Here is a 15,342-nt window from a genome sequence, read left to right on the forward strand (position 1 = left end):
TTCTTCTTCATCTTTTTCTTCTACTTCTTCTTCTTCATCCTTTTCTTCTTCTTCCTTCTTCTTTTCTTCTTCTTCATCTTTTTCTTCTACTTCTTCTTTGTCCTTTTCTTCTTCTTCTTCTTCTTCTTCATCTTTTTCTTCTTCTACTTCTTCATCTTTTTCTTCTTTCTTCTTCTTCTTTGTCTTCTTCTTTGACTTTTTCTTCTTCTTCTTCTTCCTCTTCTTTTTCTTCTTCTTCCTCCTCTTCCTCTTCTTTCTCTTCCTCTTCCTTCTCTTCTTCTTCTTCTTCTTTTTTTTTTTTTTTTGAGACGGAGTCTCGCTCTGTCACCAAGCTGGAGTGCAGTGGCGTGATCTCGGCTAACTGCAACCTCTGCCTCCCGGGTTCAAGTGATTCTCCTGCCTCAGCCTCCCAAGTAGCTGGGACTACAGGTGCGTGCCACCACACCTGGCTAATTTTTTGTATTTTTAGTAGAGACAGGTTTTTACCATGTTAGCCAGGATGGTCTCGATCTCCCAACCTCGTGATCTGCCTGCCTCAGCCTCACAAAGTGCTGGGATTACAGGCATGATCCACCGCGCCCGGCCAAGCGTGTTCCCTCTTCTTGGAGTCTGTGAGTCTAAACAATTATCCTTCAATGGCATTTGTATCCTGATCTGTTGGGTTTTGCCAAATCTAAATAATAATAAAACCTTCACTTATTTATTATTATTATTTTTTTGAGACACAGTTTCTCTCTGTCACCCAGGCTGGAGTGCAGTGGCACAGTCTCGGCTCACTGCAACCTCCGCCTTCTGAGTTCAAGTGATTCTCTTGCCTCAGCCTCCCGAGTAGCTGGGATTACAGGTGTGCACCACCACGTTAAGCTATTTTTTGTATTTTTAGTAGAGACGGGGTTTCACCATGTTGATCAAGCTGGTCTCGAACTCCTGGCCTCAAGTGATCCGCCCACCTCAGCTTCCCAAAGTGCTGGGATTACAGGCGTGAGCCGCCCCATCTGGCCTATCAAGCCATCATTTTAAAAGACCGCAGCACTGTGCAGGAAGCCCATCAGACCCTCCCAGAGACTCCTCCACACCTGACCAACGTGCTTCTCCTCTAGGCCTGTGACCCAGGAGCCCAAAGGACTTTTCTAAAATGAAAACTGATCACGCCACTCTCTCATTTAAGATTCTCATTTAAAATTCCCTAGAACCTTCTGTTACAAATTAGAGTGAACCCCACAGTTCCTACTGTGGTCTACGAGGCCCTGCAGGTCTCAGTCCTGCAATCTGCTCCTGGGTGCTGAGCTCAGTGCTCTGCGTGCTGGCCTCCTTCCCGTTCTTCAATGAAGCCAAGCCAGTTCCTGCCTCAGGGCCTTTGCACCTGCTGTTCTGTCCACCCAGAATGCTCTTCCTCCAGCTCTTGCACGACTGGCCTCTTTCCCTCTAGTCTCAGTCAAACATCACCTTTTGGAGAGGCCACCCTTAAGGACCCAGTCAGACATTTTCTTCCATCACTTGGTTTTATGTGCTTTGTGGCATCTGCCACTCTCTGTCACGATTCACTTGTTTATTGTCTGTCTCCCCACCATGCCTGCCTACTTGGAGTAGAATCTGAGCTCCCTGAGAGCAGGGGCCTGGTTCGCTGCTGTGCCCCCTGAGCCTGGCACATGCCTGGTGCATGGTGTTGGCTGCATGAATGAGGGGTGCCTTACCTCGTTCAGGACTGGACAGCGGAGAGGTGCCAGGGTTGGACCAATGCAGGGTTGTCTCCTGCTGTGACCCTGCAGCCACTTGGGAACTGCCGCCTCACCAGAGGCTTCCAAACTTCTGGCCCCAGACCAACCCACTGCAGTGTCAGGGCTGGGGAAAGACAGTGCCTGCTTCCTGGAGAAGCCAATGGGAAGCCAGCGGCTGTTTGGTGAGGTCCTGCTGACCAGCATATTTCCCCTCTGAGGGTTCCTTGTCCTTCCCCCAGACCCCAGGCTCATCCATCGCCTGGATGTCCCCAGGCTGCGTCTCTACTTGGCCTGAAGGAGATGATGCAGCTTTTGCTGGTGCAGAGATGTCTGGGGTGGCTGCCAGCACTTTTATCTTCTCATTTTATCTGCCAGCCAAGAGCTTCTCCCTGCCTTTGCCTCTTGAAGCTTAAGGCAAGAAACATCGACCTTGAGTACAGGAGCTTCCCTCTTCATTACTCAAGGTCCCCTGTCCTGGTTCATATCCAGGCCAGCTGCTCCCCAGTCTCCTCTCTTCTCTTCCCTCGACTCTCCTTCCCCCAGGCAGCCTCAAAACAAAATCTGGGGCTTTTTTCTCCTGAGATCCCGCTCAGGAAGTAGTAGCACTGATAGTTTGTCCCTTTTCCCCAGGGGCACCAACAGATTGTGGCCAAGCTGAAGTCCCTTGGAGCCTCTGCAGAGCGAAGGAGACTCCAGCACCTGGACTCGGTGGCTCAGGCTCCCTAGCTTACACCACGTGCATTTGACAAACAGTTTTTGAGGGCCTGTTATTTGCCAGGCATTGGTCTTCCAGGGTCTACCTTCTGGACCAGGGAGGCACTTTGGGCATACCATGTTGCACGTCTATGCAAGCCACAGCTCTTGGAGCATACCACGGAACAGCCTGCATTGTTGGGCTGTCCCCGTGGACAATGGGATATCCACATGCAAACGAAGGGAGTTGGACCCCCTACCTCACATCATTTACAAAAACTAACTAAAGATGATCAAAAACCTAAATGCAAGTGCCAAAACCACTGAACTCTTAGAAGAAGAAAATGCAAGCATAAATCTCCATGATTTTGCTTGGATTGGGCAAAGCCTTTACTAGCTATGACACCAAAAGCACAAGCAACAAAAATCAATAGATGGCTGGGTGCCGTGGCTCATACCTGCAATCCCAGCACTTTGGGAGGCCGAGGCAGGTGGATCACTTGAGGTCAGGAGTTCCAGACCAGCCTGACCAACATGATGAGACCCCATCTCTACTAAAAATACAAAAATTATCTGGGTGTGGTGGCACATGCCTGTAATCCCAGCTACTTGGGAGGCTGAGGCAGGAGAATCATTTGAACCCAGGAGGTAGAGGTTGCAGTGAGCCAAGATCATGCCATTACACTCCAGCCTGGGCAACAAGAGTGAAAGTCCATCTCAAAAATAAATAAATAGATACACTGAACATCATCAGGATTAAACAAAAATCAATAGATACGCTGAACATCATGGGGGTTAAACACTTAAGCTTTAAAGGACACCATCAAGAAAGTGAAAAGACAATGCACAGAATGGGAGAAAATTTTTGCAAATCATACATTTGGTAAGCGATTTGTATCTAGAATGTATAAACAACTCTAACAACACAATTAAAAAAGACAAAAATAAAAACCCTGAAAAATGTGGGCAGGTGCAGTGGCTCACACCTGTAATCCCAGCACTTTGGGAAGCCGAGGTGGGTGGATCACTTGAGCTCAGGTGTTCCAGATCACCCTGGGCAACATGGCGAAATCCCATCTCTACAAAAAATAGAAAAATCAGCCAGGTGTGGTGGCACGCACCTGAGGTCCCAGCTACCATGGAGGCTGAGGTGGGAGGATGGCTTGAGCCCCCTTGGTGGCTGCCGTTGCAGCAAGTGGAGATCACACCACTGCACTTGAGCCTGGGTGACAGAGCCAGACCCTGTCTCAGACTCCTTCTCTTAAGAAAAAAAGAAAACTGGGCAAAGAATTTGACTAGATATTTCTCCAAAGAAGACACTCAATGGCCAATAAACACATGAAAGATGATCAACACCACAGGCCATCAGGGACATGAAAGCAAAATGACAATTAACTCCCACCTGACACCCACTCAGATAGCTATAATAAAAAAGTTGGGGCCAGGCGTGGTGGCTCACCCTGTAATCCTAGCACTTTGGGAGGCCGAGGCAGGCGGACCACTTGAGGTCGGGATTTCAAAACCAGCCTGGCCAACATGGTGAAACCCCATCTCTACTAAAAATACAAAAAAATTAGCCGGGCATGGTGGCGCACGCCTTTAATCCCAGCTACTTGGGAGGCTGTGGCAGGAGAATTGCTTGAACCTGGGAGGCAGAGGTTGCGGTGAGCCAAGATCGTGCCACTGCACTCCAGCCTGGGCGACAGAGTGAGACTCTGTCTCAAAAAAAAAAAAAAAAAAAAAAAAAGTCAGGCAATAGTAAGTGTTGGTGAGGATGTGGGGAAATTGGAACCCCTGTACACTGCTGGTGAGAACAGAGAATGGTGCTGTAACTTTGGGAAACAGTCTTGCAGTTCCTGAAAAGGCTAAACATAGAATTACCAGCTGAAGAGCCAGGCACGGTGGCTCACACCTGTAATCCCAGTACTTTGGGGGGCTGAGGCAGGTGGATAACCTGAGGTCAGGAGTTTGAGACCAGTCTGGCCAACATGGTGAAACCTTGCTTCTACTAAAAAAAAAAAAAAAAAAAATTAGCTAGGGATAGTGGCAGATGCCTGTAATCCCAGCGACTTGGGAGGCTGAGGCAGGAGAATTGCTTGAACACAGGAGGCAGAGGTTGCAGTGAGCCGAGATCTTGCCATTGCACTCCAGCCTGGGTGACAGAGCAAGACTGTCTCAAAAAAAAAGAATTACCAGCTAACCCAGTTCTTCCACTCATGGGTATACACCCAAGAAAAATGAAAACATACATCTATAGAAAAACATATACACACATATTCATAACTACATTATTCATAACAGTAAAAAGCAGAAACAACCTAAATGTTCATCAATGAATGGATCAACAAAATGTGGTGTATATCCATAAAATTAAATATGATTTAGCAATGAAAAGGAACGAAGCAGCCAGGTGAAGTGGCTCACGCCTATAATCCCAGCACTTTGGGAGGCTGAGGCAAGCAGATCACTTGACACCAGGAGTTCAAGACCAGCCTGGCAAGCATGACAAGACCCTGTCTCTACTAAAAATACAAAAATTAACTGGGCATGGTGGCGTATGCCTGTAATCCCAGCTACTCAGGAGGCTGAGGGCTGAGAATCAGCCCGGGAGGCGGAGGTTGCAGTGAGCTAAGATCAGGCCACTGCACTCCAGCCTGAGCAACAGAGCGAGACTCTGTCTCAAAAGAAAAAAAAAAAAAGGAATGAAGCAGTGATACACGATACAACATGAATGAACCCTGAAAACATTACATAGACACACATATATGCCTGTGTCTATATATAACATATTTAGCCACAAACGGCCATATATTGTATGATTCATTTAGATGAAATGTCTGCAATAGGCAAATCCATAGAAACAGAAAATAGATTAGTGATTGCCTAGGGCCTAGTGGGTGGGGGGAAAATGGGGAGTGACTGCTAATGGGTACAGGGTTTCCTGTCGGGGTGAAAAATATTGTAAACTTGATTGTGGTGATGGTTGCAAAACTCCGTGAATATACTAAAAACCACTGAATTGCACACTTTCAATGAGTAGGTTGCATAGTAGGTGAGTTTTCTCTCAATACAGCTATGATGAAAAATTGTGGGCCCAGCGCAGTGGCTCATGCCTATAATCCCAGCACTTTGGGAGGCCGAGGCGGGCAGATCACCTGAGGTCAGGAGTTCGAGACCAGCCTGGCCAACACGGTGAAACCCCGTCTCTACTAAAAAATACAAAAATGGGCCAGGCGTGGTGGCAGGCGCCTGTAATCCCAGATACTCGGGAGGCTGAGGCAGGAAAATCACTTGAACCCAGGAGGCAGAGATTGCAGTGAGGATTGTGCCACTGCACTCCAGCTTGGGCCACAGAGCGAGAGTCTGTCTCAAGAAAAACATAAAAATTGTGATAAAAATCCTGGATCATCAAGAGGGTTTGAGAATTTGCAAATTTATAATTTGTGGTAGGCAGAACAATGACTAAAGATGTCCCGCTGGAACCAGGCTCAGTGGCTCGTGTCTGTAATCCTAGCACTTTGGGAAGCTGAGGTGGGTGGATCACTTGAGGTCAAGAGTTTAAAACCAGCCTGGCCAACATGGTGAAACCCCGTCTCTACTAAAAATACAAAAAAATTTGTCGGGCATGGTGGCGGGTGCCTGTAATCCCAGCTACTTGGGAGGCTGAGGTAGGAGAACACCTTGAACCCAGGAGGTGGAGGTTGCAGTGAGCCGAGATTGCACCAGTGCACTCCAGCCTGGGTGACAGCAAGAGACTCCACCACAAAAAAAAAAAAAAAAAGCCCAGCTTGGTGCAGTGACTCACACCTGTAATCACTTTGGGAGGCTGAGACAGGAGGATTGCTTGAGCCCAGGAGCTCAAGACCAGCCTGGGCAACAGAGTAAGGCTTTGTCACTACAAAAAGCAAATCAGGTGTGTGTCTGTAGTCTCGGCTACTGGAGAGGCTAAGGCAGGAGGGCTGTTTGAGCACGAGGTCACGGATGCATAATTGTGCCACTGCACTCCAGCCTGGGTGACCAAGTGAGACTCTGTTTCAAAAAAACAAAACAAAACAACAACAAAAAAACGGGCCCCGATACCTGAACTAGTGTCTGTTACCTTGTGGCAAAAGAGACTTTGCAAGATGTGATTAAGTGTGTGCACCCTGATATAAAGAGATTATCCTGGATTATATAAATGCGCCCAATCTAATCATGAGGATTTTTTATTTTTGAGACGAAGTCTCACTCCGTCACCCAGGCTGGAGTGCAGTGGTGTCATCTCAGCTCACTGCAACCTCTGCCTCCCAGGTTCAAGCTATTCTGCCGTGTCAGCCTCCCAAGTAGCTAGAGTGCAGTGGCACAATCTTGGCTCACTGCAACCTCTGCCTCCTGGGTTTAAGCAATTCTCCTGCCTCAGCCTCCCGAGTAGCTGGGATTATAGGTGCCCACCACCACGCCCGGCTTATTTTTGTTTTTTTAGTACAGACGGGGTTTCACCATGTTGGTCAGGCTGGTCTCAAACTCCTAACCTCAGGTGATCTGCCCGCTTTGGTCTCCCAAAGTGCTGGGATTATAGGTGTGAGCCACCAAACCTGGCTCACATGAGTTTTTAAAAGCAGAGACCCGGCCAGGCGTGGTGGCTCACGCCTGTAATCCCAGCACTTTGGGAGGCCAATGTGGGTGGATCACGAGGTCAGGAAATCGAGACCAGCCTGGCTAACACGGTGAAACCCCATCTCTACTAAAAATACAAAAAATTAGCCAGGCGTGGTGGCGGGCGCCTGTAGTCCCAGCTACTCGGGAGGCTGAGGCAGAAGAATGGCATGAACTCGGGAGGCGGAGGTTGCAGTGAGCCGAGATCACGCCACTGCACTCTAGCCCGGGCGACAGAGCGAGACTCTGTCTCAAAAAAAAAAAAAAAGCAAAAAAAAAAAACGCAGAGAGCCTTCCCCAGCTGGGTCAGCGAGATGACCCTGAAAAGGGCACAGGGGAGAGAGAAATCACTGGATCTCCCATTGCTGGCTTTGAAGGTGGAAGAAAGGGGCCACAAGCCAAGGAGTGTGATACCCTCTAGAAGCTGAGAATGCCCTTCAGCTGAAGCCAGCAAGGAAACGGGGATTTCCGTCCTAAAACCACAAGGTACTGAATTATGCCTTGACCAGAAATGGCTCCTCCAGATAGGAATTTATGCTGACCCATTATTTTAGCCTGGTAAGAACTAAGTTCTGACCTCCAGAACTGTAAGATAATAAATTTGGGTTGTTTAAGCCACTAAATGGTGGTATATTGTTATGGCAACAATGGAAACCATTACATAACTACTTTATGTGGACTTTAGGAAGCTAATCTTAAAAAATAAAAAAGGTCTGTTACAATGGCTCATGCCTGTGATCCTTGCACTTTGGGAGGCCGAGGTGGGAGGATACCTTGAGCCTAGGAGTTAGAGGCCAGTCTGGGCAACATAGTGAGGGCTTAGCTCTACAAAAAAAGAAAGAAAGAAAGAAAAAAATTAGCCAGGCATAGTGGCGTACACCTGTAGTTTCAGGTACTCAGGAGGCTAAGGCGGGGGGATCACTTGAGCCAGGAGGTTGAAGCTGCAGTGAGCTATGATCGTGCCACTGCACTCCAGCCTGGGTGACAGAGTGAGATTCCGTCTCAAAAAATAAAATAAAAATTTTTAAAAAGAGGCTCCTTATGTCTGAGGATGAAAAGATCTACTCGTGGCTGAAAAATCTCTACCTGTTTCCCTCCCTCCCCACCTCCTGCGAGAAGCAAGACGAAGCCAGCAGAGCTGCCTTAGGGAGTGACACCTGAAAATAGAAACTGCAATGGGATTTTATTTCTAACTCCACAGGCATCTCTGTGAGTCATTCATCTCTCTGGGTCTCACTTTCCTTGTCTGTAAAGCAGGCTGAATTCACCCTGACTTCTGCCTACACCACAGTTAAAGGGCTAGGAAGAAAAATCCCCAAAAATCCACTTCATAAATAGAGCCCCAGGGCGCTCCTTATAAAGCACGAGATAAACCACAGACAGAATTCTGGTCACAGGACACCCCCTGGACCACCCATGGGGCATCATTCCTTTCTCCCGGCTTCCTTCATTCTCCCGGCTTCCTTCACGGGGTTCTGGGCACACCTGGTCCCTTGTAGCTGCGGTCAGCACGGAAACAAGAAAAGCTTCAGACAGGCAAAGGTGCAGAAACCAATGCCAGGGCCCACAGGGACAAAGTTTTCGATTTTTGTGTTTTGGGTGGCAGTACTCTCACACCAGGATGACTGGGTCTTAGCACGACCTAATCGTCTTCATGATGGAAAGAAAGCAAAGCAACTGATTGCCCAGAGAAAACTGGAAGGTACAGAGGCAGGATGAGACTGAGGTGAAGGTAAGGTGAGGAAAGACAGGCGGAGAAATGAAACATCTCAGGGTGGTGTGGGAGTGGACATAGGGTTGGGAGGGCATTGTGACCCCCTAGGCTAATTCCCCCCTCAGACCCCACCCCAACGTTACCTAATCAGGTGGACGTTTTCTTAGTAAGCAGGTTACAACTGACTTGGTTTGGGGCTTTGTTTTTTTTTCTTTTTTTTTTTTTTTGAGACCGAGTTTCACTCTTGTTGCCCAGGCTGGAATGCAGTGGCGCGATCTCAGCTCCCCGCAACCTCCACCTCCCAGGTTCAAGCTATTCTCCTGCCTCAGCCTCCCGAGTAGCTGGGATTACAGGCATGCGCCACCACACCCAGCTAATTTTGTAGTTTTAGTAGAGACATGGTTTCACCATATTGGTCAGGCTGGTCTCGAACTCCCGACCTCAGGTGATCCACCCGCCTCGGCCTCTCAAAGTGCTGGGATTACAGGCGTGAGCCACCGTGCCTGGCTTTTTTTTTTTTTTTTTTTGACACAGTTTCACCCTGTTGCCCTGGCTGGAGTGCAATGGCGCGATCTTGGCTCACTGCAACCTCTGCATCCTGGATTCAAGCGATTCTCGTGCCTCAGCCATCTGAGTAGCTAGGACTACAGGCACGCCACCACGCTTGGCTTTTTTTTTTTTTTTTGTATTATTAGTAGAGATGGGATTTCATCATGTTGGCCAGGCTGGTCTCGAACTACTGACCTCAGGGGATCCACCTGCCTCGGCCTCCCAAAGTGCTGTGATTACAGGCATGAGCCACTACGCCTGACCTGGGGCTATTTATAAGAAGCCCTCAAGGTAGCAGATCACCCTCTGATGGCCACATGGAGATCTGGGAAACGAACCCCCGGTCATGCCTCTGGACACCTGCCCACTTCTATCTGTGCCTTCCTGGGCCCTGGTTTTCAGAGCTATGTGGGTGCCTGACACACTCAGGGCCACAGAACATGGGAAGGGCTCTAGGCCAAGAGTCCCGGCATCATTCGAGTCTGCTCTGGCCCGCTCCTGCCCTAAGCCCTCCTGCTCACTTCCAGCTGTGGAGGTAGCCCAGAGAGTGCCTGGCTCCCTGGCTCCCCCCTCTGCCAGGCCCACTCAGTGTGACCTAAATCCTTGCCGAGGCTTGGCAGCCCTCTGCGGGCGCCCGGATGGCCTCTGGCCTTGGTGACGGTGAGGCCCAGCTCCCCTCAGTTCCCAGCCTTCCCGGAACCCCTTGCCTAACATCCTGTGTGGTAATCATGCCTGTTGGCCCCATTCAGTCCTGCCGGCCACTGCCAAGTTGCCACTGCTAGTTCCAGACGCTCCCACCTCTAATGGAACCATCGGGAAATAAAAAGCTGCAGCACAGTTTCTCTCTCAGGTCAGAATCTCCTCCCAGCACTTTGGGAGGCCAACGTGGGAGAATCACTTGGGCCCAGGAGTTCGAGACCAGCCTGGGCAACAAAGTGAGACCCCGTCTCTACAAAAAGTTGAAAAATTAGTCAGGAGTGGTGGCGAACATCTGTGATCCCAGTTACTTGGGAGGCTGAGGCGGGAGGATCACTTGAGCCTGGGAGGCGGAGGCTGCAGTGAGCTGTGATAGCGCCACTGCACTCCAGCATGGGTGACAGAGCGAGACCCTGTCTCAAAAAAAAAAAAAAAAAAAAAAAAGAAAAAAAGAAAAGAAAAGAAAGAAAAAAGAAAAAGTGGGGAGCAGGTTGGGGAGCATGGTGAGGGCCACCTACTGCCTGATAATGGTGGGGGACAGGAAGGGGACTGAGTGCTCTGAGAGGCAGCTGATCCCGTTTTCTCACTTAAATACCTCTCACCCTACAGAGAAGCCCTGATTCCATTTGCTGTCTTTCTTAGCAATGTCTTAGCAAAAGTCTTCTATTTGCCACACGGGTCCAAGCTTCCGCTTACTAAGCACCCAAGTGCCAGACAACCCCGGAGGCAGGTACTCCCATTGTCCCCACTGTACAGATGAAGAAACTGAACTCAGGGTCACACAAGTGATAAGGGGTGGCAGAGATCTGAAGCTGTGCGCGGAGGCGTGGCCAGCGTGTGCGCTCCGACTTCTAAATCCCTACTCTGGATATTGAAGACGGGAAAGACCGAGCCGCTCATTCTACAGATGGGGAAAAGCGAGGCCTGAGGAGTCCCAGAGCGGGTGCCAGATCGTAGGGAGCAGCCAGCACCCCGGGTCCCCTCCACGACACAACCACGTCCCTCGGCCACTTCTGGGTCCCGCGCGCGTCTCGGACGCGGCAGGACAGCTCTAGGACGCACGGCCACCAGGGGGCCGAAGGGAAGGGCGGGGGCGGAGGCTCGGAGCTGACCCACCGCCTCGCCCCGGAAGCTCCGAGGCCCCGCCCCGGCGGCCGCCAGCGGAGGGCGTGGCCTCGCCGGCGCCCCCGCCCCGCCCCCGCCCCCGCCGCGCGCGCCCCCGCCGCGCGCGCCCCCGGCCCGGGCCCCAGTCTTGCTGAGCGCAAGGCGGTGGAGGCCTGAGGCCTGAGGCCTGGGGCGGGGTGGCGGCCGGGCTGGCCTTGGCCTCGCGCCTTCCCCTGCGGCCGCCGCGGGCTCCGCGGGCGGTATCGGAGTGTCGTGCGGCGCGTGGCCGCGTGACACGCGCACTTGTCGGAGTGACGGGCCCTGCGGAAGAGGAGGTGCGGCCCAGGGCGCAGGGGAGCCCTCGGGAGCGGGCCCGGCCCTCAGCGCCGCCCCGGCCGTGTCCCGGAGGAGCGGCCTGCGCCGCCGCGCGAGAGGAAGTAAGCGCCCCCCGCCGGCCCCGCCGCCGCCCCGGCCCCGGCGCCTCCAACCCGCGCTGCCGCCGGGCCCGAGGCCGCGCCGAGCCCCGGAGCCTGCGCTGCCAGCCCCACGGAGCCTGGGGCTGGCGGCTTTGGAACTGCTCAGGAGGCGGCCAGGCTCCCTCCAGGGTCGCCCCGAGCGGCCGAGCTGTCCTTTCCCTGGGCTTCCCGGAACTGAGTTCCAGGAGAGGGGGAACTCCGAGATTTCCCCCGGGACCTGCTTAATCTTTGGCATTGATTGGCCCTCGGGTTTCACATAGCGTTTCCCGTACCCGGATCTAGTGAACGGTTTTCCAGGGGCAAACCTCTCTGGATCTCTGAAAATCAGCTCACCCAACCTTGAATGCTTAGCCAGAAGTGAGAACTTCTGGAAAGAAGTGTCCTTGCCCACTCCCCCTGCACCCACAACAGGCCCATGGCTCATGAAAGGCAGCAGATGAGGGAAAACTGGTGTCAAATGGGCATATTTTTTATTTTATCTTTTTACTTTTTTATATAAAAGTAAAAAATCTTTTACTTATAAAAGATGGGGTCTTGCTTGGTTGCCCAGGCTGGAGTACAGTGGCACAAACACGGTTCCCTGCAGCCTCCACCTCTTGGGCTCAGGCCATCGTCCTGCCTCAGCCTCCGGGGTAGCTGGGACCACAGGCGCACACCACCACGCCTGGCTAATTTTTAAACCTTTTGTAGAGACAGTGGTCTCACTATGTTGCCCTGGCTGGTCTCGAACTCCTGGGCTCAAGCGATCCTCCTGCTTAAGCCTTACGAAGTGTTGGGATTACAGGTGTGAAGCACCACGCCCAGACAGCGTATTTTAAATTATGCATCATATCCCTTTAATTTTTCATCATTATGATTGGAAGATCATGAAAAGCTGTCTGAGTTTTTCCTTGGCATTTTTCTGTGGTTGATGGTTAGTTGTTGCCCAAGCTGGAGTGCAATGGCGCGATCTCGGCCCACTGCAACCTTCTCCTCCTGGTTCAAGCGATTCTTCCACCTCAGCCTCCTGAGTGGCTGGGATTACAGGCGCGTGCCACCACACCCGGCTAATTTTATGTATTTTTTAGTAGAAACAGGGTTTCACTATGTTATCCAGGCTTGTCTTGAACTGCTGACCTCAGGTGATCCACCACCTCGGCCTCCCAAAGTGCTGGGATTACAGGCATGAACCACCGCGCCCAGCTGGTTAGTTGGTTTTAACAGCAGTTCAAGAAGCTAGCAAGAAGGACTTCATTCGTGAAGCTAATGGTTTAATGATAGAAACTAACATTTCTGGCCGGGCCCAGTGGCTCACGCCTGTAATCCCAACACTTTCGGAGGCCAGGGCGGGCAGGTCACTTGAAGAGTTCAAGACCAGCCTTGCCAACATGGTGAAACCCCGTCTCTACTAAAAATACAAAAATTTGCTGGGCATGGGGGCAGCGGATGCCTGTAATCCCAGCTGCTGGGGAGGCTAAGGCAGGAAAATCGCTTGAACCGCCCTGCCTCCGGTGACGGAGGTTGCAGTGAACCAAGATCGTGCCACTGCACTCCAGCCTGGGTGACAAAGCTAGACTTCTCCTTAAAAAAAAAAAAAAAAAAAAGCAGCTAGGATTTCTTGGGTGCTTACTGTATGCCAGGCATTGTGCTAAGTACCTTACATGCTTCCCATCGATTTGTTTTCCCATTCTGTGGTTGAGGTACAGAGAGGTTAAATAACTTGTCTGAGGGTACATAGTTACTGAGTGGCAGGGATTTGAATCCAGAATATTCTTATGTAACCAGTTCTCCAAAAACTAGCCCTTGAAGGTCTTCCACGTTTCAACAAAGCAACTGAGGCTTATACATGATGTCTTCATGATGTCAGAAGGAAGAACTGTGAAAGGCAAAGCGGACCCGGGAGGCAGAGGCTGGTTACCGCAGTTAGTGTTCGGAACAGCTTGACTTCATGGAGCAGAGAAACAGCCTGTCTGGTTTAAACCACTGTTCAGTATCTACACTGATACAGTGTAAATGTAATACAGTGTTTTACATTTTGCCATTCAGGGATGTAGTCACATTTTACGGGAAGGTTAGCTCTGGGACCAGACTGCCTGTATTCAAATCCTATCACCTCTAGCTGCTTGACCTTTGGTAAGTTATTTGACTTCTCTTTTTTTTTTTTTTTTTTTTTTTTTTGAGATGGAGTCTTGCTCTGTTGCCCAGGGGCGCAATCTCAGCTCACTGCAACGTTCGCCTCCTAGGTTCAAGTGATTCTGCTCCCTCAGCCTCCCAAGTAGCTGGGATTACAGGCACCTGCCACCACGCCTGGCTAATTTTTGTATTGTTAGTAGAGACGGGGTTTCACCGTGTTGGCCAGGCTGGTTTTAAACTCCCGACCTCCAATGATCCTCCTGCCTCAGCCTCCCAAAGTGCTGGGATTATAGGCGTAAGCCACTGCGCCTGGCCATGTTATTTGACTTCTCTTTGCCTTAGTTTCCTCTCTACTCCCTGCTAAGATGGGGATAATCATGTTACCTACCTCATATGGTTGTGGCAAGATTTAAATGGTGTGATGCATGTCACACCGATAGCCTAGCATTTGGCATATAGTTAAATACTCCATAAATAGCTCTTTTATTATTAAAAGTGTTGTTCCAAGTAGTAAGCTGCTGCTGTGTGCTGTGTCACAGTGCTTGAAGTCACCATTAGAGGTATATTCCTTTGTGCCGTATTTCAAATGCAGAAATGACAGTGGTCCTGTGCAAATGGGATTTATTTGTTCATTTAGCAGATATTTATAGAGCGCCTTCTGTATGCCAGGCCTTGTTTTGGATACTGGAGGTACTGCGGAGAACAAAACAAACAAAAGTCCCTGTCCTCATTGGCACGCACACTCTTGGGAAAAGGAATGGCAGACAATAGGCAAAATGAATGTAATTATCATACAGTATATTAGAAAGCGATGTACTGTGGGGAGAAATAAAGCAGGAGAGGAGGATGGGGGTGGGCGGTTTACAATTTTAGAGTGGTCTGAGTAAGCCTCACTGAGAAGATGACATTTTAGCAAAGAAAAATTAGTGAGGGAGTAAACCACGTGGACCTGGTGGGGGACATGGGGGAGTTGGCCAGGCGGAGAGAACAAGTGCAAAGGCCCTGAGGCAGGAGGCTGGGCGGCCAGAGCCTAGACAGGCAGGATGGTAAGAGAAGAGATCAAAGAGGTAATGGGTGGGAGGCCAGAATGTGTAGACTCTGCAGACATCTGCACAGAGGAATGGCATGATCCAGCTGGAGCTATAAAAAGGTCACTCTGACTGCCGTGTTGAGGCTCAGCCATAGAGGGTCCAGGTAGACAGAGGAGGCCAATTAGGAAGTTCCTGTAGTAATCCAGACGGAGATGACGGTGGCTGGCACTGGAGTGGAGTGGTGGAAGGTGGTGAGAAGCAGTTGTATTCTAGATAAATTTTGAAGATAGAAACTACAGGATTTGCTGACAGATACGATGACCTCAAGGTTTCTGGGTCTGAACACCTGGAAAGATAGAGTTGTCATTTACTGATAATGGGGAAAGCTACATTGGAAGCAGATTGGGAGAGAAATCAGTTCAGTTTTGTACATATTAAGTCTGGCAAACATCCCACTCATGCTCTCAGAATAGCAATTGACTGCATGAGTCTGGAGTTTAGGGGAAGTTCGGGCTGTAAATAAAGACTTGGACGGATAGGCAGTTGTGTGCTGGTAATGTTTACCAACTGACTCTGTGAGGGGTGGGGTTGGTAGTGGGGAACCTGATTTATAG

General features: G+C 50.3%; 1 protein-coding gene across 3 annotated transcripts in view, besides 1 other annotated feature; it reads left to right on the forward strand.

The window, feature by feature from the left end:
* Nucleotides 11,107–11,666: a silencer, noted in NCBI's record as "silent region_216". NCBI's record gives its function as "represses an Ori minimal core promoter by ATAC-STARR-seq in GM12878 lymphoblastoid cells {active_cell/tissue: GM12878}" and the evidence as "EXISTENCE:reporter gene assay evidence [ECO:0000049][PMID:35858748]".
* H6PD (hexose-6-phosphate dehydrogenase/glucose 1-dehydrogenase) overlaps nt 11,254–15,342 on the forward strand; it is a 36,564-nt gene continuing 32,475 nt past the window's right edge. For all 3 annotated transcript variants that reach the window (XM_047435002.1, NM_004285.4, XM_006711052.5), the window contains exon 1: nt 11,254–11,546. The gene's annotated coding sequence lies outside the window, so the exon portion shown is untranslated. The remainder of the gene's footprint in view (nt 11,547–15,342) is intronic.

The sequence above is a fragment of the Homo sapiens genome, chromosome 1 (assembly GCF_000001405.40).
Source record: "Homo sapiens chromosome 1, GRCh38.p14 Primary Assembly".
In the NCBI taxonomy this organism is placed as follows: domain Eukaryota; kingdom Metazoa; phylum Chordata; class Mammalia; order Primates; family Hominidae; genus Homo; species Homo sapiens.